Genomic DNA, 24,576 nt, shown 5'->3' with positions numbered 1-24,576 from the left:
GAGGATGCCTTCAGCCTAGCCGTGGCCTCAGGGATCATTAAGGTCTTACTTTTCTTCCTGTCCTTCTCTTCCAGTGGTAATGGGAAACTGGCATCCTGGGCCTCCATCCTGGGATTTGTAGTGATGATGTCACTGGACGTTGGCCTGGGCTAGGGCTGAGACGCTTCGGACCCCGGGAAAGGCCATACGAAGAAACAGCAGTGGTTGGCTTCTATGGGACAACAAGCTTCTTTCTTCACATTAAAACTTTTTTCCTTCCTCTCTTCTTCATCTCATTATCCTGATTGACTCTGATTATAATAGAACCATTTTTACTTTGCTTTGAGGGAGATTTTTGATTTAATGGGGAATTTTAAGGTGTCATGGAAATACAGATTCTTTGTTTTGGCCACTGAATGGACTCTCTCTTCAGTGGGATTATCAAGGAACTTCAGATCAGGGAAATCTCCACTTCGGGACCTTCTATCTGCCTCCCAACTCCTCAAGGTCACCTATAGAAGCGAGCTACCAAAAGACGTCTCCTAAGCATTTTGGTGGCCTAGTGACTCAGGGCAGAGTGGCCAGCACACCTCTCATCCGCCCCTCCTGCTCCATCACTGCTGAGCCTCTCCCCATCTAGAATGTTGGAACTGGAGCATCATAAAGATAGCAAGCTACCTTCCAAGGCCGAGCCAGCCCAGAGAGGAGCATGTCTTCCTTTACCTCCCCCTAAGGAGATACTACATGGGAGGGGGACACAGAAAAAGGGAAGGAAATTGGCTAGTCTGGCTTTTTTTTTTTTTTTTTTTAAAGGCAAAGATTGACATTATTGAAGGAAAGGGGATGAGGACAACTGTGAACTCACAGTGAGCCCTGTGGAAAGAAGAGACAGACAGAGTGTGGGTTTGTTCGGAGGCCTCTGCTGTCAATGGATTCCAGGAGCAAGGCCATTTGTCGCGCTTTCCAAATTTCTTAGGCATTTATTTTGATAAGTTTATAGCCATCATGTTTCTAAGAGACTTGGAGACACCAGCAAACTGCTAGAACTCAAACTCTTCAATTACTCAAAGAAGGAGCCATTTCAGTTAACTCAAGTGAATGAAAGAGTTTTGGAATCTGCTGTGGGTCCTTCCCTGTTGACCATTTGGTAACTTATAATCTGACAAAAACTCTTGAGCTGCAACAGGCCTTGCCAGAGGGCTCAGGATGGGAAAGGAAGAAGGGGATAGGAAAAGAAGAGGTAATTTTACATTTCCCCTTTAAAGTAAATTTTAGCCAACTCATCATTCTGAAATGTCCCTATAAAGAATGAGTCGAACTAGACCAGAAGCCAGCCTACTCCTTCTTACATAGCTTCTCCAACAGGGGTAGCAATGACCTGTCCACTTCAAACACAGATAAGGCCTGCCATCCTCATTGGTTAAAGGCACACGTGAGACTTTCAGTGGGCTCTGCTGAGAAGGAAGGCAGCCCAGGAGTCAGGTATGCAGGCATTGCATTGTCAGTGTCTGCTCTCAGAGTTTACACATTCAATTGCTTCCAAGGGTGAATCTCCTGCTCTGTGAATGCTATCAGACCCCAAAGGCCAACCTTGGGCTGGGTCTATGTACGTTCTTCCGAAGCACTGATGATCAAAATTGAAGACACATTCAGAGGTTTGATTGGTTGAGATTAACTGGTGTGGTGGTTGGTGTATGTATGTTTTATTTTTATGTCTTTGTATGTAGTTCTACATAATGCAAATTGTGCTTTCTGATGGACAAGACCTCATAACTGTGATTAATATCAATAAAAAGGGGATGTTGTGGATGACCTGTGTTACGTTCAGTACTTCTCAAAGCTGCTTCTTTGCAAGGATGATCATAAAAGAGCTAACTAAAGTTGGAACTAACACCTCCCTGATCCAACACTAGGAGAGGCAAAGGAAAGAGCTCAGATGGGAAGGGCTAGTCAGATTCTTGGTTGCAACAACAGCATCCAACAGCAGCTTACTTAAACAGAAAAGGAAATGAGTGGAAGCCTGTTAGGGAATTCACAGGCTCTTTCGGAGAATCGGGCTTGAAAATGGGTTGGATCCAAGAAAGCCAGAGGTCTGGGGCCATGACCCAATCACACCTGGAGAACAGCTTGGTTTAGATGCCATGGTCCCCAGAGCTGGTCCCTAGATCCTGGACACCACTAATGAAACTGCTGTACCTTGATGCCACCACCACTGCCGCCACAAGAACAAACTCTACACTGAGCTGGATTCTTTGTGTCCTGGCTCCACATTCGAAGTTCTAGATCAGAACATCCAGCTGCCAGAGCTTAGATCCTGTGCCCATGAACTAGCTGATCTTGCCCCTTCCCAAGACTCGCAAAATAGTGGATTTTCCAAATTTGGGAATGAGTTCATATGGTGCAGAGCCAAAATAGAAAAAAAAAAAAGGGTCTATTAAGTTCATTACAGCCTTACTCTTTTGCTGTTCAATATCAACATATACTCTAATTCCTCTAGTTTTACTTAAAGAAAAAACTCTTGCTTAAAATATGTAGCTATTCCTCATACAATCAAAACTTCTTTCATTCCCTTTCCAACGGGGTTACCCCAATGTCTTTCAACTCCTGTACTCAAGGTCTGTGAGTAATGGATACCCCACCTCCGTGGGATAACAAGCCCATCTCATTATTCTGTATCTTTGAGCTGAAGTGTAAAGTTAACCATAACCGTTCATCCCATATACAATAAAACGAATAACGGGAGAGGAAAGAGAGGCAATGAGTTAAAATAGGATACACACAACACAGGAAGTACAAGTAGAAGCTACAGCACCCATTTCCTGCCCTAGAGAAGAGACCCTGGATGATGTTTAGGTTTCCCGCTTCCAGTTTCCATTCCAAGTCCATGCTGTCTTCAGCCAGTACCTTAGATGACTGGGGTGTGACCTACTAGCCGTGACCCTATTCCTCTTTCCTAAGGGCACAGAGACCAAGGAGGCCCTGCCCATATGCATGATGGTAACAGTCTTCCCTTAACTCCCACCGCTGGAGGAGGAGGAGGAGGCGGCTCCTGAGAGAACCACTTGAGTTTCATTCATAGCCTCCACCCTGGCCTGTCTCCCGTGGTATAGCAGCATTTTCCCAGGACTAGTCACTGCAGCCAGCCTTGTCAACCCACTTTTTTGACCTAATGGCATGTGAAATTCCAGGTGGCCAGCCCACATGTCCAGACTATTGCTATATCACTCTTTTTCTGTTCAACATCTATATTCACTCTAATTCCCCAAATTTCACCTTTTTAAAAAATGTCTGCTTTAATGGAACCATCACTCATACAAACACTTTATATCCCCTTTCCAAAGGGAGCCACCCCAACGGTCAGCTGCCTCAATGGTGCAACCTTCCTTTCCTGGGAATAAAATCGCTAATTGGTGGAAAAAAAGTTGAAGAGAGTGAGAGTCATTAAGTAAGATGGAAGTTGCACCGTGCCTACTTCCCCTTCCTCCAGACCTGTTTAGTCTGGCTGTGGGAGAAACGGCACCACGTGATGTTCCCTAGTTCAGAACAAACAAGCATCTTAAAGGACGATATTTCAATCTCCTTAGGTATGATCGTCTCTCAGTCCTGAAATGAAATCTTCAATAAATCATGTCACAGCTGAATACAGATGACTGCTTCTGGGTGACAGGATCCATTGACAAGGGTATCACCCACTGCTTTCCCTCTTTCACTGTAAAGTGAATTCCGTTGTCAGAAGCAATTTTGTAGAGCATGCCATGATGATCTACAGGCAGAGAGGTCAGTTCCAAAGTCAGACATGAGCCTGTTTCAGTGAAAAGAAATCACTGCCCTTTCCATAATGGAAGAGGTCCAAAGTCATCAGTCTGCAACTAAGTAGTCCATGGTGTCCCTGGAGTCTGGTCAGTTGCGGCATTCAGGGGTGGTCACTGATAACCCTGTGCACCCAGGGGCCAGGTCTGCATTGATAATGGAAAGCCTAAGTGATTGAATCCATCACAGTTCATGTGTTGCCAGCAAAGACTCTTCTGCTCATGAATCAGTTGAAGCAATGATGTGCCTGGAGAAAGAAATCATTACACATAAGCAGATGGCCTGGTTCAATTAATTATTATTAGCTTTTGCTATAGTGGGTATTTTGGATGATGTTTTACTCAAGAAACAAACATTTTCAAATTTGGCCCATTCTGAGAAGTGAAGCCATGTATGTCTTCCCACACCTCTCCTCTGTCATTAAACCTCCAGTCATTCTTCTTTCAAGTTTGTGACCTGTTGAACAGAACCCCCCATCTACACTGCTCAGAAGTTGGTGTAGCTTCTTGCATCAAATTTTCTTTGCTTCCAAGCAAAGTGGACACAGAGTTATGTGCTTCAAATTCTCCTCCCCAGGAGGTTCTCCCTCTCACCTGCTATCCTCACTGAACTATAACATCACAGTCACCTATTTAGAAGGTAGGGCCGGGTGCAGTGGCTCACGCCTATGATCCCAGCACTTAGGGAGGCCGAAGTGGGCGGATCATGAGGCCAGAAGATAAAGACCATCCTGGCTAACACAGTGAAACCCCGTCTCAACTAAAAATACCAAAAATTAGCTGGGCGTGGTGGCACCCACCTGCATTCCCAACTACTCGGGAGGCTGAGGCAGGAGAACTGCTGGAACCCGGGAGGCAGGGGTTGCAGGGAGCTGAGATCGCACCACTGAACTCCAGCCTGGGCGACAGAACGAGACTTCGTCTCAAAAAAAAAAAAAAAAAGGTAGGCAAGCATATGGTGTGAAGCTATCTGTAAATGAGGATCAGTGGTTTTTCCTCTCTTAGTCACTAGCTCTTGGGAAACCCCTTTGAGGCCGGTGTTAGATTGATGAAAGGGTCAGGGGTAGGCACACAGGGAATGATCTACCTATGCATATAATGCACTTGTGCCTTCAGTACCTGGTTAGGAGCTAGTCCCACATAAACCATTTCCAGTTGGTAATGGGATTTTATGAGTGTGTCAGATGGCCCAGTACATGACGGACAGCTTGGGTTGCAAATGACATGTAATACATTAGGGATAATCACTTGGCGTCCAGTGGTCAGTCCAGCTCAGAAGTCACTCCCAGCTTCTCCTGCTAGCACAGTCAATCCAGAATCTCTGCAATGTATATCAACAACATCAGACCAGTGTAAAATGATACCTTTCCACCCATTTATTAAGCACCCTTAGTTAGGAAAATCCCAAAATCATGTTGGTTTCTAATCTTGATCCTCGCTGGTTTGAGCTTGCCATTGTCCTTCTTTCTGAAGTGCTGGGATCTAACTGTCCATTCTGGAGACAGTCGAGGGTAATGCATGAGAACTGGCTTGCTCTTGCAGTGAGACTGCAAAGGATGCAAAGAAATGGCAGTGTCGTTACGAAGTGTGTCAGAAGACTGGAGAAGAGGGTTTCCGCTGACGAAGGAGGCTCTTTGAGGACTGGGTGATTCAGAGAACTTCAGGTTTTCCAAATCCTCTCATTTGTCTCCATTTGGATTCTCTGGGTCTTATCCCTTCCTGATCAATGCTTCAGCAAGGCCATGATTTTACCAGTGTAGAAATGTGGCCAGTCCTGTGGATCAAATTTTACCTTTGGTTTTCCCTTTTTGTTGTTGTTTTTTCTTTTTGAGACAGAGGCTCGCTCTGTCACCCAGGCTGGAGTGCAGTGGCACGATCTCAGCTCACTGCAACCTCCGCCTCCCGGGTCAAGCAATTCTCATGCCTCAGCCTCCCGAGTAGCTGGGACTACAGGCATGCGCCACCATGCCCGGCTAATTTTTGTATTTTTGTAGAGACGGGCTTTCACCATGTTGGCCAGGCTGGTCTCAAACTCCTGACCTCAGGTGATCTGCCTGCCTCTGCCTACCAAAGTGCCAGAATTACAGGCACGAGCCACGGTGACTGGCCGTTCTATTTTCTCAGTTGTATGGACTCAAGAGGGAAGAGGGTATTTCAGAACTGTCATAGGAAGCCCTTGGTTTGGTTTAAGTCTCTTCCTTCAGCTGGTAACTTCGGGACTTGAGCTTGCCAGTGTCTTTTTTTAAGCTGTGTGGCATGGCTTAACAGGACTGCCTGGCCGGCGCATCTGTAATCCCAGCACGTTGGGAGGCCGAGGCGGGCGGATCACGATGTCAGTGGATCGAGACCATCCTGGCCAACATGGTGAAACCCCGTCTCTACTAAAAATACAAAAATTAGCCGGCGTGGTGGCGTGCATCTGTAATCCCAGCTACTCGGGAGGCTGAGGCAGGAGAATCACTTTAACCCGGGAGGTGGAGGTTGCAGTGAGCCGAGATCACGCCACTGTACTCCAGCCTGGCGACAGAGTGAGACTCTGTCACAAAAAAAACAGGACTGCCTATTGGGCCTCATATGCTTGACTGTTTGATGGCAGAAACAACTCATTGGCTACAGGCTTTGCTTTGAATGGACCCTTCTTCCAGGTGACCGGTATGATGAGAAGTAGAGAGGTAGGGGCAGGTGTCAGCGTCTGGATCTTCTCTGGGATCCCAACAGAAGACATTTTCGTCCTGCTGTGCTGAAGACGGGACCGGAAGGCCATTGCTCAGGTATTCACTCTACCAGACGGGGCTTTACGCTCCCACCACTTCCTCGAATCCCCCGTGAGGTAGATATTATTATCCTGACTTTACCTGTGAGGACAGGAACGCAGTGGCGGGGTGGGTTCTCACTGTGCGTGGAGGCAGCAGGACGCAGAAATCGACCTCCCCCACGCGCCTCGCCAGCAGCTTTCAGTTTCGTGGCCCAACGCCCTGCACTGCACGCCTCTCCTCTGGGATAATTGATAGTTGAATCTGTGTAAGCTGGAAGCAAATGAGAGCCCAGCGGCTGTTCTTTCCCATTCCTTTTAGATTGAGGCAAAGGGACAAATCTGCGATGTGAATAATACAGCTCCAGGAATTTTTATCAGCGCGCCCCACGCCCGGCCCTGCCTGAGGGTCTTTCTAAGCCACAGGCGTCCCTTCCCAGGTCTTGTCTCTTCCCTTCCGCGAATGCCCTCGGCTCACCCAGCAGGCAGGTGTGATCCGGCTCCGCGCTGGGGCCAGGTGAGGCCGGGCTGCCTGCCCCGGTGCACGTTCCCAGGGCGCGGCGCCCAGTCGGCGGGGCCTGCGGGCTGGGCCTCCCCGGGGCGCCGGGCGTGGCGCCGGGGGCAGGTCCCCGGGCTGCCCTGCAGGGCGGCCGGCCGGCGGCCAGCGGCTGTTTACCTGTGCAGGGCGAGGCGAGACTCGTGGCGGTGCCGGGGCTTTGCACGCAAGGGGCGATGCGCCCCGGAGGGGGAGGGACGCAAGGGGCGACTACTGTTACCTCGCTTGGAGATACCAAGGCCGGTCGGACCCCCCGCTGGCCGAATGTGGGTAGGCTGCCCCCAGTTTGTCCCTTCCCAGGGTGGATCCAGATTTGGGGGCCGGAAGTGTATACAACGTGGGGAGCGCCCTTTGGGAAAAATAATACAGAAGTCCCAGTACAAGCTTAGGTGCAGGGCTTTTTTGGAAGGGGGCCTGTGAGTGAGGGTCCCCGAAGCCCAGGCTTCCTTGGCTTTTAGGTAACCTCACCTCTGAATCAGGGCAGGGAAGCCTGAGGTGCTCGGGGGTTTAGAGGCTTTCCAGACACTGCAGGAACCCTATTTAGTTAATTCACTTTTCCTTCATCTTCCACACACCCCAGCCCAGCACCTGGGAGAAGGGATGGCGCTGTGTTCAGAGGCAGGAGGAACCCAGCCCACAATTGTGCTTCTCTCTCCTGCCCTGGGAAGAACTAAACCCATCTTCCTCCTCCTTCCAGTAGAATGCGGGAGGCTGGGCCTGGCCATCCAGGGCTGAGCAAAACAGTAACCCTGAACCTACCTCTGGATTCTCTCCCGCTCTCTGACCTTCTAGCTCTCAACCCAGTGAAAGTGTCTGGACTCTGCCAGTGGCTTAATAGGGAAAGCGTCCTGGGGAGCCACCGTCTGTCCCCAGGGACTGTCACTGACCCCTCAGAGGTCCCCGATGGGGCTTCTGATGGAGCTGCTCGGACCCCAGACCTTCAAGAATCCTCAGGGTACGAGGCTACTGCCCTCTGCCCCAAGACAGGGAAGATGTGTGTGGGTGGAAGAGCTGGAAGTGTCAGAGGCATGTGAACCAGAACAACTCCATCTTAAATAGGAGCTGGGTAAAATGAGGCTGAAACTTACTGGACTGCCTATCCAGGCAGTTAAGGCATTCTAAGTCACAGGATGAGATAGGAGGTCAGCACAAAAATATGGGTCATAAAGACCTTGCTGATAAAACAGGTTGCAGTAAAGGAGCTGGCCAAAACCCACCAAAACTAAAATGGTCACGAGAGTGACCTCTGGTCATCCTCACTGCTACACTCCCACCAGCACCATGACAGTTTACAAATGCCACTGCAATGTCAGGAAGTTACCCTATATGGTCTAGAAAGGAGAGGCATGAATAATCCACCCCTTGTTTAGCATATCTTCAAGAAATAACCATAAAAATAGGCAACCAGCAGCCCTTGGGGCTGCTCTGTCTACAGAGTAGCCATTCTTTTATTCCTTTACTTTCTTAATAACCTTGCTTTCACTTTGCACTTTGGACTCACCTTGAATTCTTGCGGGAGATCCAAGAACCCTCTCTTGGGGACTGGATCAGGACCCTTTTCCTGTAACAGAAGAGCAACTGCTTTGTGTGGCCCAAGGAAAGATGTGTGATTCTTTGTAGAGGGTGAACCTATGGACCTGTATCCCAGCATCCCCACAGCCCGTGATCCTCCCCCAGATTAAAAGATCAGCTTGGAAATCATGCGGGGTCTTTTCTGATATAGTCTCCATTCTCTGGTGCACTATGAGCCACAATGATACATTTCTCATTGGCCTCCCTCCTCCTGGCAGGGAGCGAGCAGATCCAGCCTGTTTGGACGTGGTGAGGACCCAGCCGTGGGGTTTAAGGCCAAGTTAGCCTCTCCCTTCACTGATTACAAGAGCCATTGTTACAGGTGAGTCTTTGTCCTTAAAGCTCCCAAGATGGTGGCGAGCCGCTCCCATGATGGGGCAGGCAGCTCCCGAGATGGCGGCAAGCCTTTTGTTCTCCGACCTGAGGTTCTTGGCGTCACCGATTCCAAGGAATGGAACGTTGGGCCATGCGGTGAGTGTTATAGCTCTATTAGAAGCCGTGGGTCATGGAAGAGAACCATGGAACCCAGTGACTAGTGTTCAGCTCGATTAGGACGAACCCGGACACTTAGCCACGCAGGAACAGTGGTAAGCCTCTAGCCCGAACGGGAGTGGCAATGGGCGCCTCACTGGATCAGGAGCACAGCGGACACCCTGCTGGATCTGGAGGGGTGGAAGTCAGCAGTGGGTCTACGACAGTGGCAAACAGCAGTGGTGGACGGCGAGTGAAAGCTCAACTCGAGCCGTAACAAACACAGACCAGAAGAGTGTGCAGTTGCAAGATTTAATAGCATGAAAACAGAGCTCCCATACAAGGGAGGGGACCCAAAGGGGGTTGCCTCTCCCTGCTCGAATGCCTGGGTTTATATCCCTATCATCGTCCCTCCCCCGGTGCTCTCAGGCAATATATGATTTGAGTATTTCTTTACCTCCTGCTTTTAGCCTAATTTGTATTTTAGTGAGCCCTCTTTACTACCTGATTGGTCGGGTGTGAGCTGAGTTACAAGCCCCATGTTTAAAGGTGGGTGCGGTCACCTTCCCCAGCTAGGTTTAGGAATTCTTAGTCGGCCTAGGAAGTCCAGCTAGTCCTGTCTCTCACCATGACCTCCAAGAAGCCCAGGATGCATCAGGGAAAAGTGGAAACGTGGGGCAAGCCTGGGGAGCACGCAAAGAGGGGAGGCCCTTAGCCAAAGCTTGGGTTCCACTTTGTAGTTGTGCAGGAAGGAGGTCAGAGGTGTACCCTTTCTCTGACCTTTGCCTTTTAGGGTCGGGTTCAATGTGCACTTGGGTTTGCAGACTGCATTGGTCACCACCATGCCCTGGAGTGTGTCCCATGGAAAACAACAATGAACTGATTTAAGATTAGTAAAATTTAAATCTTTTCAAAGTTTGTCTTCAATTAGAACCAGCTCCCTTTCTGCTGTTTCAATGAAAATGCTTACTGAACTTATTATGTGAAAGTATAGAAATGTAAATTTTTGGCCAGGAGTGGTGGCTCACGCCTATAATCACAGCACTTTGGAAGGCCAAGGTGGGTGGATCTCATGAGGTCAGAAGCTCCTGATCAGCCTGGCCAACATGGTGAAACCCCATCTCTACTAAAAACACAAAAAATCAGCCGGGTGTGGTGTTGCGCACCTGTAGTCCCAGCTACTTGGGAGGCTAGAGTGAGAGGCAGGAGAATCACTTGAACCTGGGAGGCAGAGGTTGCAGTGAGCCAAGATTACACCAGAGTACCCCAGCCTGGGCAACACAGTGAGACTGTCTCAAAAAAAAAAAATGTAATTTTTTTCAGTTCCTAACAAGCCTGTAACACGGTTAAAAAACAAAGGACTGCACTTGAATAGATGATGTATGAGTCTGTACATTTCTTCCATGTGAACATTTATCATATTTGGTAAGTTGGTGGGAGACGGTCGTTGTATTCATTTTCTATTTGTGTGTGACAAACTACCACGAATCTAGCAGATTAAAACAACACGTGATTATTTCAGTTTCTCTCGGTTAGAAATCTGGACACAGTTTTAACTGGGCGTCTGTTCAGGGTCTCACAAGCTGCAATCAAGGGGTTGGCCTAACTATAGTCTCCTCCAGGGGCTCAAGTGGGGAGGAATCTGCTCCCAAACTCACTCCCATTGCTGGCAGTATTCAGTTCTGGCAGGTATGGGTTTAGGGACCCTGCTTCTTGCTGGCTGTGAGCTAGAGGCTTCCTTCAGCTCCTAGGGACATGGGTTTTTCCCAGCATGGCTGCTTACTGATCAAACCAGCAAGGAGAGCCCCTCGACTGAGTCAGCTAGTAAGTGAGGGTCTTATGTAATATAGCATAAGCATGGCCATGACATCCCATCACCTCTGCCATGGTCTATTGGCTCATAAACCCAGGTGGCAAGAATGGCTTCCATAGGTTCGTGGGCCTCTTTTTCATCCACCAGGATAAGCATGACACAGCAAACTACATGTGGCGATGATATGATTTTATTCTCTCTTTTGCATATTCTACACTTCAGAGTGGTACAATGAATGGATGAAAGAGATGTGTGAGCAGGGAAGGTACTGGAATCAAGGATACCCATCTGGACGGATGGGCTGTTCTGGATGAGCCCTGGGAATCCTGGCCTTCTTGCCCTCTTCTCCCTTGCGGGGTTACCACGGACCCATCTCCCAGAACTCTGGGTCAGGGCTGCGGCCAACTCTTGGTTTCTTCAAGGGCTTGAGGAACGGCATCCACATGTCCACTCTGTGTGCCCCTTTCTCTCCCACCCTGTCTGCTCTCATCAGCACAGTGGGGCTGGGCACAAAGAAGCTTCAGATTCAAGTTACCGTTTCCACATCGATACCCACTGGGAGGTGGCAGAGATGACTTCATTTTGGTCACCACCTTTATTTTGGTCCAGGAACTTTTTACAAATCAACTCCCCACAGGACCTATTCTGTGACAATGGCTATGAAAGCCTCAGTCATTGCTTGTTCTTTGCAAGAAAAAAATGGGACGGAAAGGGAATAGGAGACTTGGGGGAGACGATAACCAAAAGCCAGGATCCCACTACGATATCTACAAGAGGATATGGACCTACATGTCCCCCAAGGCTTTCAAATCTAAATATATACATAAATATTGATATACACATTTGAATATACATGTGTATAATTTATATATACATTAAAATATACTTTATGTATTAAAATATATGTATAATTATATATTTTAATATATAATTACATATTATATAATATATAATATGTATTATATGTTATATTAAAATATAAAATATATTAAAAATACATAAATATGTATGTAGTGAATAACATATATACACACACATACTACATAATCAAAACTTATAATAAAACAACAACAACAATCTTCTAAGTCAAAATTAAGCCTTAGTTTTCTTGCTTTGGGACCCAAACTTTACTAATAAGGGAGATATTGACAGAATAGATTTTTAAGTCCTCTGGCGGAGATTAAAATGGATCGTGCCCTGGAAACTAGCAAGGTTCACGAACCCCTGCCATCCGCCTTCCTGAGCTGTTTCCTTCCCCAGTGGGTTATGCCTGCTTGGGAGGAGGGGTGATGTAGGCGTGTGTGTTTGTTTAGTGTAGAATTCTTGGCAAACCTATCATGCTGGCAGGTGCTGAAAAGTAAAATCCTCTTTTTCCAATCCAGAAAAACTCCGATGCCAGCATGCCCGTTTCCCATCATCTTCCTCACAGCTCCACCAGGCAAAGAGCCATCTCTCTTAGTCCTCGGGAAACAGTGGTGGTATCTGGCTGAGTGATAGCGCTCGCAAGGTTAAAGGGAGGGTCAGGTTTGGGTGTTTTCCTCTGTGGGCTCTGTCACTGAAGATTCATTTCCCAACTGCAAAAGACAAGAATGAAAACGGGCAGATGGTTCGGCCTCCTTCTGAGGCTCAGGGTTGGGGTAGAAGAGGTGGGCTGAGGAAGCAGGAGGGAGGGGAGGTAGCGGGCATGCAGCTTGGCATCCTGGGCATCCCTATGGTGGTGTTGCTGCCACGTGCCTGGATGGACAAGCAGCATGGCGCTGGGAAAAGGCAAGATTCCTCAGGGGATCATCCTCAGAATTAGAGGCACTCAATGTGCATCTGTATAAGAGATGACAATGCCGATAGCATGGCAGATTATGATCAGCCTTGGCAGGGAGCTGCAGGCAGGGCTTTGTGGTTTGGAAAGCTGCAGCAAACAGGTAGGGCACAAGGCGCCCTCAGAAACACACCCTTCTCTTCCCAGGGCTGCCACCACCACCCACACCCAGCTTCCTCCCACCGTGAGCTCAGCTTCCATTTCCTGCCTCCTTTGACTGGTCAGGGAGGCTGGTGCCACCCATTTTGGGCCCTGAGAATATTACCCGTAACACGTGGTGCCCAGCTTTTTGCGGGCCCACTGATTTCCTGTGTTGCCCACGGCCCATTGATTGGTCAGCATCATTATCCACTTAGATTTTCTTGGCAGGTGTAGAAAGGAATTGAGCCAGCCCCGGGTGTTCGATGCTGAAATCAATTGAGAAGTAGGTTACAATCTTGCCAATCAGAAGGAAAGAGCATCTCTGCAGATGGATGTGTCTGTTACAATTCAGGTTCTGAACTGGTGGTTTTGATATTACATCTCTAATCTTAATCTCAACCAACACAACCTGCTAAGAACCAAACTAGCCAGAGGAAAAGATTAAGTAGATAACATTAGCTTGAACAATGCACCAGCTAAAAATGGAATTACGGCTCTCTCAAATAACATACAAAAGTAATAAAAATATCCTTGAGGTTTTTGGGGATGCTTTACCTTAGGGTACCAGGTGATTAAAAGAGATTGTTGCCAGCCATTATACCTGACCAGTTTGTCCTTTTATTTCTATTTTTTATTTTTTTGAGGCAGAGTCTTGCTTTGTCACCCAGGCTGGAGTGCAATGGTGTGATTTTTGGCTCATCACAACCTCAGCCTCCTGGGTTCAAGCGATTCTCCTGCCTCAGCCTCCCAAGTAGGTGAGACTACAGGTGTGCACCACCACACCTGGCTAATTTTTGTGTTTTTAGTAGAGACAGGGTTTTGCCGTGTTGGCCAGGCTGGTCTCAAACTCCTGACCTCAGGTAATACACCCACCTCAGCCCCCCAAAGTGCTGGGATTACAGGCAAGAGACACCACGGCCGCCAGGCCCAGTCTGTCCTTTTAAAACATACCTACTGCCCTGATCAAACTGTATCCCGTTTCAGGATAGTCAGCCTCCCATCTGATCACTAATTTTGTTAGACATAAGTCTGATACTACAGCAGATATATTTTGAGAGTAAATGTCACTAGGTTTTGCTCTGGAATCCTACCAAAAACGGTGAGTGCCAGCCTGGGCAACAGAGTGAGACCCCATCTCAAAAACAAGAACCAAAAACCAGTGAATGGTTTATTGTCTGACACCCACAGGAGCTCCCTCACCTTCTTACTGTCTGGTTACAAAAAGCAAAACCAAATCTGTTTTAGCCACTACAATTTCAAAGCAAGGCCAGATCTGATCATTTGCATGCATAAGTTTGTACACTCACTGATTTATTCTTTATGCTGTCTTGATCTTTAAACTGTGTTTTTGTTCAACCTTATATTATGGAGAATTTCAAACCTATGCTCAAACAAACAGAATGGTGTCATGAACCCTCATGTCCCCATCACACAGTCCAACAACCATCAACCCTTGGCCAGTCCTGCCCTATTCACTTCCCTCCTCCTCCTTGTTATTAAAAACAAACAGGCTGGATGCGGTGGCTCACAGCTGTAATCTCAGCACTTTGGGAGGCCGAGGTGGGCAGATCAGTTGATGTCAGGAGCTCGAAACCAGCCTGGCCAACATGGCGAAACCCCATCTCTACTAAAAATACAAAAATTAGCCGGGCGTGGTGGCACAGGCCTGTAATCCCAGCTACTCAGGAGGCTGAGGTAGGAGAATCGCTTGAACCTGGGAGGCAGAGGTTACAGTGAGTCAAGATCGTGCCACTGTACTCCAGCCTGGGTGACAGACTGAGACTCCGTCCCCCAAAAAATTAAAAAAAATATATAAAAAAACAAACAGACATCTTGTCATTTTATTCATAAACAGGTCAGTATGTATCTTGAGAAGGAATGGCATTCTTTTTTACATGACTCCAATACCATTATCACACCAAAAGAAGTGATACTATATAATTTACTATATAACTATAATTTACTGTATAAATTTACTATAATTTACTCTATAACTATAATTTATAGAATTTATATATTGCATATATTTTATTGCTTTCCTTTAAGTTAAACAGTGACCTTTGCCCAAAAACAACAAAATCTTACTTGATATTATTTGGCTCAAATATTTTGTATTTCTAAGGGAACGTTTGCTTTTCTGAAAACTCATTCACTAGCTCATTTCATGCCCATAATTAGGCTTGTAGGGAAGCCTAGGGAATGAGACCGAGGGACCATGGCTGAATCAGCACTAATTGTAGCTCTGAACTTGCCTTGCCCCGGTAGCGAAGGCAGATGGTGCCAGTGACCCCTCCCCAGGGGACTGCAGACTTTGAACACACACTCGTCTTCTGTCCCCTCCCTCTGTGTCGAGTGCCAAGGTCAGTCTAGGTGTCTGCAGAGGAACGGTTGTTTGCCCAAGGAAGACGCTTGTGATATTCCTGGCCTGGTGACTGGCAGTCACGTGGTGGGAGGGTGGAGGCAGGGAGGAGGTGACCGAACAGAATAGGACAGCCCAGAGTGGTTTGCAGGATGCATCAAGAAGTGCACACAATAACCTTGGCAGCATCCATGGAGGCCGCTTCCAGGTTCTTTTTGGTCACAAAATCCCCTTGCTTCTGTAAAGCCTGCCACCTTGCTGGCTACGAAGGAGGGGCGACCCTTTGCAGGCGGTGTTGCATTTGTAGGGAGTCTGATTTGGGAATTCATACTTCCAGTCTCCCTCATCCCTGGTCTGTCCCGTATGCGGTCGGGCACATGAGCCAAGGGCGCGCACTGCACTGCTTCGGTGTGTATGGTATTTGCTAAAGCCATCAGAAGAGCCCGCTGCCAATACGGGAAATGATTTTTCCTAATGCAATGCTCTCCTTGGGCTGTTTTTATGAAAATGATGTGTCGGAGTCTCTGCGGCCCCTTCACTGGCTCTGGTTGGCTTCTGGGAATGAGAGCTCAGTGGCCCCCTGGCACGGATCCCCACCCCTGGCTTTTAGAAGGCTGACTGACACATTGCGTGTCAGTTAATGCTGCCTGCTGGAAGCCTGGGGCTTTGCCGGGGACTGTGGATCATAACTTGCATTGTGTGCATCAAGGGCCCTGACAAGTGCTGATGGATTTGGCTTCCTTGCGGCTCCTGAGCCCTGGGCGGGGACAAAGGGGAGCATTGTTTGGCAGGGCAGGCCTCTGCCTGTGAACCCACTCGTTTGCCTGACGGTAGAGACAGGTGTATCACACGCTCAGCATGCCAGAGCTATGCTGGATGATCAAGATCTAAGTTTTGTTCCCCAGGGCCAGGCTTAGAGAAGCAGACATGGCCCAAGGAATGGCCCGTGGTCACTCTTCTCCCTGAAACCAGCCCCTGACTTTTCTTTTCTCTGTTTGCTCTTCTGAGCTCTGCTCCTAAAATAAGATCTTGTTAGGGAAAGAAAACAAATCTGCCCCAACTTCCTGTCCTTTGTAGCTCAGGAGGGCTAGCAGGATGCTGAGGACCCTCGCTGGGGAAGGTAAATGTGGACCACTGTTGTGCCAAGGCTGTGTCTCACCTCCTGGTTGTGCTCCACGGTGGCCCCTGTGGGAACCATTTCATGACCCTTCCAGCCTGATGCAGCCCGGTTGGGGGAATTGCATGGGTAGATCATTTTCTTGCACGTCCTAGTTTATTGCTATAGGTGCTCCAAACTATTATCATCACTTTTAAATTAAAAATTGATTTTCATTAGGCATAATAACAGATAAATGAAGTTTAGTAAGTCAAATGGCATGAAAACCATTTTTGAAGGAAGTCAGCCATGCTCTGCCCTCTACTTCCCCAACTCTGAATCTGCTCCCTGGGGGCACCTCTTTAAATTCTGACTTAGATGTTTCTTTTGATATTTACCTCCTACTTCCCAATACCATGCTCATCCTGGCATTTCTCCTTGTTTTGGTTTTAAACATTATCTATTGAATTCTTACCTGAAAACGTGAAAGTTTCCTTGGGCTTACACTGGGCTTCATGGAACTCTAGCCTTGCTAAAGCAGCTTAACCACATAAGGGTAGATGTCTCTCGTGTAACTTGAAGTACAGCAGAGGTTCAGTCTGGGTTTGGAGAAGTGACTCTGTGGTACCACTGGGGACCCCTGCCTCCTCCCATCTTTCCACTCCATAATCCTTAGCATGTGTGCCTGCCTAAATTCACACTTCCCTTCATACTAAATAAAATGACCCGGGTCAGGGACTGTGGCTCATGCCTGTAATCCCAGTATTTTGGAAGGCTAAGACAGGTGAATCACTTGAGCTCACAAGTTCAAGACTAGCCTGGGCAACATGGTGAACCCCCATCTCTACAAAAAATACAAAAATTAGCTGGGCCTGGTGGTGTGTGCCTGTAGTCCCAGCTACCTGGGAGACTGAGGTGGAAGGATGTCTCAAGCCCAGAAGGCAGAGATTGCAGTGAGTCAAGATGGCACCACTGCACTCCAGCCTGGTCGATAGAGCCAGACTTCGTCTCAAACAAAAAAAGTAAAATGACCCAGATTTTATACCAAGCTGCAACTATATCTACTATGCCCAGTATAGTAGATAGTAGGCAGAATAAGGGTCTCCTAAAAATGTCTATGTCCTGGCCGGATGTAGTGGCTCATCCCTGTAATCCCAGCACTTCAGGAGGCCAAAGTGGGAGGATTGCTTGAGACTGGGAGTTTAAGGCTGCAGTGAGCTACAGTTGCGTTACTGTGCTCCAGCCTGGATGACAAAGCGAGACCCCATCTCTATTAAAAATAAAAATAAAAACAAAAAAGATGTCTGTGTTCTAATCCCCAAAAGCTGTGATTGTCTTATGTTACATGGCAAAGGGGATTCAAGGTTGCAAATGGAATTAAGGTTGCTTACCAGCTGACCTTGAGATGGGGAAGTGACCCTGGATTTTCCCAATAGACAGATGTAATCACAAGTGTCCTTGTAAATGGAAAAAGATGGCAGAAGAATGTGAGTCAGAGTCGTACGAGGTGTGAAAGACTCAACTGGCCATTGCAAGCTTTGAAGACAGAGGAAGGAGCCATGAGTCAAGGAAAATAGGTGGCCTCTAGAAGCTGGAAGAGATAAAAAAACAAATTCTCCCCTGGAGCCTCCAGAAAAGCACTTGGCCCTGCCAAGGACACCTTGATTTTAGCCCAGTGAGACCCACTTCAGACTTCTGACCTCTAGAACTGTAAGATAATACATTTGCTTTGTTTTAAACCACTCTTCATGGTTATTTATTACAACAGCAATAGGAAACTAATATACCAACCTAAAAACTGTATTTCCCAGCCCATTGTAGCTACAGGGCGACACAATTCTGGCCAAGGAGACAAAAGCAGTAGCCTGCTGATAATTTTTCTAAGAAAGTTTTGTTTTTCTGAGGTAGAGGCTGTTCTTTTCTCATTTGCTGCATTCTTCTTCCTGCCTGGAATACAGATGAAAAGCTAGAGATGGGACAGCCACCATAGCACCATGAGGCAAGCATGAGGATGGAGTCTGTACACCAGCTTTGGTAATACAAGACAGACAGTCAGCACTGGGCACATTGGGATATCACGAAACTGTTGCGTTGTGACTGCTCCCACCGGACTTTTGTATTTGAGCACAATAAATGTCTCTTTGCTCATGGATCTGTTTTATGCCACCCTAGGCAATCCCTGAATGAAATACTCTGCTGCCAGGCTCTCCCAAATCTTCCTTTTTCTTGATTTACTCCCTCATTCTGATGGAGCATATCCTTCCATAGTTTTCTGTGGAGGAAAATTTTTTGAGAACTTGCATATTCTAAAATGTTTTTGTCACACTTGATTGATAGTTTGTTTGCTACAGACGTTTAGGTGGAAAATCAGTTTATCTTAGAAATCTGATATTATTGCTCCATTACCTTCTCATCTTGTGTGTTGCTATTGAGTTGTTCCATACTCTTCAGATTCCTTCTCTTTTGTATATGAAATTTCTCTCTCTCTCTCTCTTTCCCTGTCTCTCCTTTCCTCACCTCCTACTTCCCTCCTTTGAAGGTTATTTTATGTCTAATGAGCTGAAGTTTCATGACACAGGGTCTTGGTATGGGTCTCTTTTCAGTCATTGAACTGGGCCCCTGATCATCTATTTCAATATGGAAACTCATGTTCACTTTCTTATTTATTTCACAATTTCCTTTCCTCAATTTTTTTCTGTTCTTCTTTTGGAATTCTTATTTGTTGGATCTTGGAACCCCTGGTTTGATCTTCTTTTTCATCATTCTGTCTTACTGTTTCTCTTAAGGAATAAGAGAAACTTAGTAATTTTTAAAAGCTCTAGTTGCCATAAAATTCCTTCTTGTGGCCTTCTGTTCTTCTTTCCTGAAGGCAATTCTTTCTTCTGTCTATCCAGGGATAATAATGAAAGGAGGTCACCGTTTTTCTTTTTTTTTCTCTTTTGCTCCCTATTTTCTCCAGGTTTCTTTCTCCTTCCCTGCTCCCACCACCCCCACTGCCCCACACTATTTTCTTATTTTAGTCTCTGTCTTTCCTACTGGGAATTTTCTCCGACTGCCTGATGATGCTTGCCTCATTGAATGCTCTGGATGTAGGGGTGGAGGTGGATGGGACCAGAGAGCTGGTAAATCTCGCTGTAGGGCACTTAGAGAGAGACTCCACTTTTCACTGGAGACTCTTAAATATCACTATGTTTAGGGTTTTCTCTTGGGATGATCTATCTTACCACAGAGAAATCCAGACCGTTCTCATGGGTGGATTGTAAGTTGGTCTCTAACATTTGAAGAGCAAACTAGGTGAAGGGGCATGTAGACATTTCTTTTTTACCCCTGTCTTCTGGTCCTTGTGCTGCCCCTGCCCTATGCAGTCTCCACATCTGGACTCTCCCTGGTTCAGTTTTGTCTCCTGTTGTGGCGGATGAGGAGTTGCTTGGTGCACAGGGCAGGGATGTGCTGGGGATCCGGGAGCTCCGGTAGCTTGGTACAGATTCTCAAGGAAGCCTGCTGTTCCCTGCCCCATTGCACACACTGCTTTGGGAGACAATAGGTGACTCCATCCAATTCCTTGCATCCTGGTGTGTCAAGGTGTGGGTCGGCTACCTTGCATGGCCTCTTCCTCTGTAGTCAGTTGTGCTTCACCTTTTTTTAATCAGCTAAATCAGTTGCTGACACTTTTTTTTTCTTCTTTTTTTTTCAGGCAGTTTTTATGGTTTTGTTTAAACACAAATAAGACATGCACGTGAGCTGTGTATTCCTGTTCTTCGCTGTGCAGCCTGGCCTTGGGGTTGGTGGCTCTGAGAGCAGCTGGGCTACTCTTTCCATGATGGCTTTGCCATTTTTGGAGGAAACATTGTGAGCCATCTCAGCACAGTAAGATTTGTTGCACATCGGCAGCACTTCTAACCCCCTGACATTGTGGACCAGGAACTTCCGGAAGCCACTGGGCGGCATGTGCTTTGTTTTTTTGTTACTCCTATAACTAATGTTGAGCAGCCCTTGAACTTTCTATGAACCCTGTTGTCAGTACCTCTGGGTTTCTGCCATTTACACTTAATTTTGACATATGGATCTGACTGGTGCCAGATGAACTTCTTGGTTCTGTTTTTCACAATCCTGGGCTTCACGAGGGGTCTGAGGGTAGCCACGACGCTGAGTAGGAGATGGCTGCCACCTCCGTAGGCAGCGCCAAGGAAGAGAGAAGAGAGAGCTGCTGACTTTCAAAACCCTCTCATGTCCTCTCATCTCTCATTCTCCTTGTATTTCTGACTTTTTTTTATCTTTTAATTTTGTTTACTATCATTTCAGGGGCTTAGGGAAGGAGTGGAAAGGATCATGTTGTATTAAGCCATTCAAGCGTTGCTATAAAGAAATATCTGAGACTGTAATTTATAAAGAAAAGAGGTTTAATGGGCTCATGGTTCTGCAGGCTATACAGGAAGCGTGGTGCTGGCATTTACTCAGCTTCTGGGGAGGCCTCAGGAAGCTTACAATCATGGCAGAAGGTGAAGGGAAGCAGTCACGTCACATGGCCAGAGCAGAAGCAAGAGAGCACGGGTGGGGGGATGCTGCACACACTTAAACGACCAGAACTCATAAGACCTCACTCACTATCATGAGGACAGTACCAAGGGGGACAGTGCTAGACCATTCATGAGAAACCCACCCCCATGATCCAATCACCTCCCACCAGGCCCCACCCCTGACACTGGGGAATTACAATTTAATGTGAGATTGGAGTGGGGGCACACATGCATACTTCGTCTACCACGTTGAACTGGAAGCCTTCCTGATCTTTAATGGCCTATTATTCCAGTAACACTCCAGTAGCCCAGGCCCAACAAATCCCTGTATTTCACTGGTAGAAACTGAAGCTTTGTAATATTTAAAGTAGCTACTGACACATAACAAATATTTGGTTGATTACTCTGGGCCCACAAATATTAATTACTGTATATTATGTGTCATATGCAGGAGATATGAAAATAAGTAAGGCAAAGTTGCTGCTGTTAGGTAAAGAACAAGGAGTGTGAGTGAATTATTGAGTGTGTTATCTTGTGTATTCCTCAAATAAAGTTTTCAAAGAGGTTAGATAAAGTTTAAAGGCATGAGAAAACTCTTCTGGGTTTCCCTCCTGAAAGTGACAGTGGCCTGGAATTTAAACCCAGGTCTGGGTGACTCCACAGCCAATATGAACCATGCTGTTTTTATTGCACTGACTCTTTCCAGACCTGACAGCTCATGGCTCAGCTCAGAGTCTTCACATTTAGCCTTTGATGTCTCTGCCTTTCTTAGCTTATTTTTGTCCTCATGCTGCCCCTCAGGCTTCCGTGGCTCTGTAAATCATGTCTGATATGATTTGGCTGTGACCCCACCCAAATCTCATCTTGAATTGTAGTTCCCATAATCCCCACGTGTCATGGGAAGGGCCTGGTAGGAAGTAATTGAATCACGGAGGCTGTTTCCGCCATGATGTTCTCATAATAGTGAGTAAGTTCCCATGAGATCTGATGGTTTTATCAGGGGCTTCCCCTTCGCTCACACTCATTCTTCTCTCTCCTGCCTCCATGTGAAGAAGGATGTGTTCGCTTCCCCTTCCGTCATGATTGCAAGTTTCCTGAGGCCTCCCCAGCCCTGCAGAACTGTGAATCAGTTAAACCTATTCCTTTATAAATTACCCAGTCTTGGGTATATCCTTATAGCAGCATGAGAATGGACTAATACAATGTCCCTATCTGTGGTGGGTTGGATAGTGTCCTCCACCAAAATCCATGTCCACCTGGAACCTCAGAATGTGACCTTATAGAATCTTTTCAGAGGTAGTTAAGGATTGAGATGAGATCATATGGGATTAGAGTGAGCTTCAGTGATTGTGTCCTTATAAGAGACAGAGAAGGACACACAACGACAGGGAGGAAAAGGCCATATGAAGACAGAAGCAGAGATTGGAATGATGTTGTCCCAAGCCAGGGAATACCAGTGTATTCATCTGTTCTTACGCTGCTAATAAATTGGGTAATTTATAAAGGAAAGAAGAGACTGGGTAATTTATAAAGGAAAGAAGTTCAATCAACTGAATCAACTCACAGTTCCACATGTCTAGGGAGTCCTCACAGTTATGGCAGAAGGTGAATGAGGAGCAAAGTCACGTCTTACATGGCAGCAGCAGGAGAGCAAGTGCAGGGGAACTCCCCTTTATAAAACCATCAGATCTCATGAGACATGTTCACTATCACAAGACCAGCACAGAAAAAACCTGTTCATGTGATTCAGTTACCTCCCACTTGGTCCCTCCCACAGCACGTGGGAATTATGGGAGCTATAATTCAAGATGAGATTTGAGTGGGGACAAAGCCAAACCATATCAGCCAGGAAGCACCAGGAGCTGGAAGAGGCAAGGAAATTTCTCTCCTAGAGGCTTTGGAGGGAGTATGGCCCCACTGACACCTTGGTTTTAAACTTCTAGCCTCCAGAACTCTGAGATAATAAGATCCTCTTGCTTTAAGCCACCAGAGGGTGGTAATTTGTTAGGACAGCCCTAGAAAATGAATGCACTGTCCAATGCTGGAAGAAGAGGGGAGGCTAGTACCAGCTGCATGCCTTCTTTTTCTCACAAAAGCCTAAGGTTTCCTAGAAGCATCTGAGCTGACTTCCTATAGCATCCAACTGGTCAGAAAGATGTAATATGGCCTGGGAAGTCTGGAAAAACAAAAGTAGAATTTAGTTTTTCCAAATGTGGCAGTTCTGAGTTTCAATAACACTCTATCTGCTCCAGTTGTAAAAAGGACCAGGACACACCAAGAAGTCAGCTTATTGTTCCCAAAGGCAGGAGATAAGGGAAGGTCTTCCTCATCTCTGCCTTTCCCTTCTTTTCCGACGACTTCCTTTCTTCTTATTTTCCCCTCCCTCTCCAGCTGCCTCCAACTGTATGTGACTCAAAGGATGCCATGAATAGTAAAAAGGCAATATGCAATGAACTCACCCAGTAGATAGTCTGTGCTCAATAAATTATGCAAGGAGGATGCTCAGAAAGCTAAGATTAGATATAAAAAAAGAAAGTTGAGAAAGCCTTTCTGAATGCTGAGGGAAATGCATGCAGCCTTAGATATGTTTAAGAATGGAAAAAAACAGCCGTGTGTCTCACCTTAGCAAGTGCTGCTGTCCTGGAGGCTGGGTCAGGATTTGGATCAATACTTCTCACACTTGAATGAAAAATCACTCATAGAGCTTACCAAATGCAGATTTCTGGATTCCAACTCCCCATCCCCGCTCACCAGGTGGTTCCAGGGCTCAGCCTAGGACTCTGCATGTTTAACAAGCCCCCTCGTGGAGTCTAAAGCAGGTGGTCCATCCACTGCCCATTTGCAATCGGGCTCCTGAGATTCGTTCCAGCCCCGAGATTCTGAAATTCTGCAAGAGCTGCCTGAATTGATTTCCAGATACTTTTGGAAATAAACAGCATATGGCTTTCTGGCTTTTGGGAAGCGACTTTTGCATAGCAGGCCTGCAGTCTCCCAAGAAGTTTCCATCAAGAGAACTCCCTTGTGTTTTCAGACTGCCTTGGGGCCAGGGGGCATACAAGGAAGGGCAGAGCGTTGCTTGGTTGTGGCAGAACAGACGGGAAGAATCATCTGTTCTTATAGGTCCCATAAGCCCCCAAGGGCGTGCACACAGACTCACAGACACCTGCTGGAACAAAGGGACAGGAGGCTCCTGCAAGGGCACCTGGACCTGCTTTCTGAGCACATGGCTCTAAGGAAGTGGGGGAATGATGCAGGTTAGAAACAGGGTTGGGGCGTTGTCACCTTTTAACACTCCAGCAGGGAAGGTTTTTCTGCCTTCTCTGTCAAGACCTGAAAAATGTTATACTGTTGAGTGAATTCTTCCATCTTTCCCACCACGCTTCAGATACATCTTCCCCCCTCACTGTGACCACTGCTGAAACTTTCTTTTACATAAATAAGACACTACAGAGAAAGCACATAGAAAGCGCTGGATATGCAATGGTCACTCTCCATTGTCCCATGCTGCCCGGACACCCCTCTCGGAGACCTTGCTCTCACAGGTCCTCCTCCCAGCCTGTTCCGCGCTGCTCCTCTCACCCACCCTCTCCCCACTGCCATTCCCAGCTCGGCAGGGTCTGGCCCTGTTTTATTGCCAGCCCATTTCCCGGCTACACAAAGGGGGCCTTTGTAACAGCTCCTTCCAGATGTTGAGT

At 47.0% G+C, this 24,576-nt stretch overlaps 1 protein-coding gene, 3 long non-coding RNA genes and 1 pseudogene across 19 annotated transcripts in view; 2 read left to right on the top strand and 3 right to left on the bottom strand.

The window, feature by feature from the left end:
• SLC39A11 (solute carrier family 39 member 11) overlaps positions 1–1,788 on the top strand; it is a 446,740-nt gene extending 444,952 nt beyond the window's left edge. For all 15 annotated transcript variants that reach the window (XM_017024335.2, NM_139177.4, XM_006721757.3 and 12 more), the window contains one exon: positions 75–1,788. In XM_017024335.2, the coding sequence (XP_016879824.1) occupies positions 75–153 (79 nt within the window). In that variant the 3' untranslated portion in view covers positions 154–1,788. The remainder of the gene's footprint in view (positions 1–74) is intronic.
• Positions 1,789–3,271: 1,483 nt separating this feature from the next.
• Positions 3,272–7,062, bottom strand: LOC105371887 (uncharacterized). 2 transcript variants are annotated; one of them, XR_934961.3, is made up of 4 exons: positions 7,019–7,062; positions 6,644–6,814; positions 4,908–5,109; positions 3,272–4,036 (listed from the first exon to the last, which is right to left on the bottom strand). It is a non-coding gene; the product is annotated as an uncharacterized LOC105371887 (long non-coding RNA). The 2 variants fall into 2 exon arrangements; XR_934960.3 differs by having other exon boundaries at positions 6,644–7,062.
• Positions 7,063–7,264: 202 nt separating this feature from the next.
• The window catches only part of LINC00511 (long intergenic non-protein coding RNA 511), a 42,432-nt gene continuing 25,120 nt past the window's right edge, over positions 7,265–24,576 (top strand). The window contains exons 1-2 of the long non-coding RNA NR_033876.1: positions 7,265–7,366; positions 8,887–8,990. This is a non-coding gene — a long non-coding RNA (long intergenic non-protein coding RNA 511). The remainder of the gene's footprint in view (positions 7,367–8,886; positions 8,991–24,576) is intronic.
• Positions 12,057–18,105, bottom strand: LOC107985005 (uncharacterized). Its single transcript, XR_001752991.2, has 3 exons — positions 17,756–18,105; positions 13,034–13,175; positions 12,057–12,526 (listed from the first exon to the last, which is right to left on the bottom strand). It is a non-coding gene; the product is annotated as an uncharacterized LOC107985005 (long non-coding RNA).
• On the bottom strand, positions 20,058–20,565 carry RPL32P33 (ribosomal protein L32 pseudogene 33; annotated as a pseudogene).

This window comes from Homo sapiens, chromosome 17, assembly GCF_000001405.40.
Source record: "Homo sapiens chromosome 17, GRCh38.p14 Primary Assembly".
In the NCBI taxonomy this organism is placed as follows: Eukaryota; Metazoa; Chordata; class Mammalia; order Primates; family Hominidae; genus Homo; species Homo sapiens.
The sequence above is the reverse complement of the archived record's forward strand: the minus strand, read 5'-3'. Positions and strand labels throughout refer to the sequence as shown.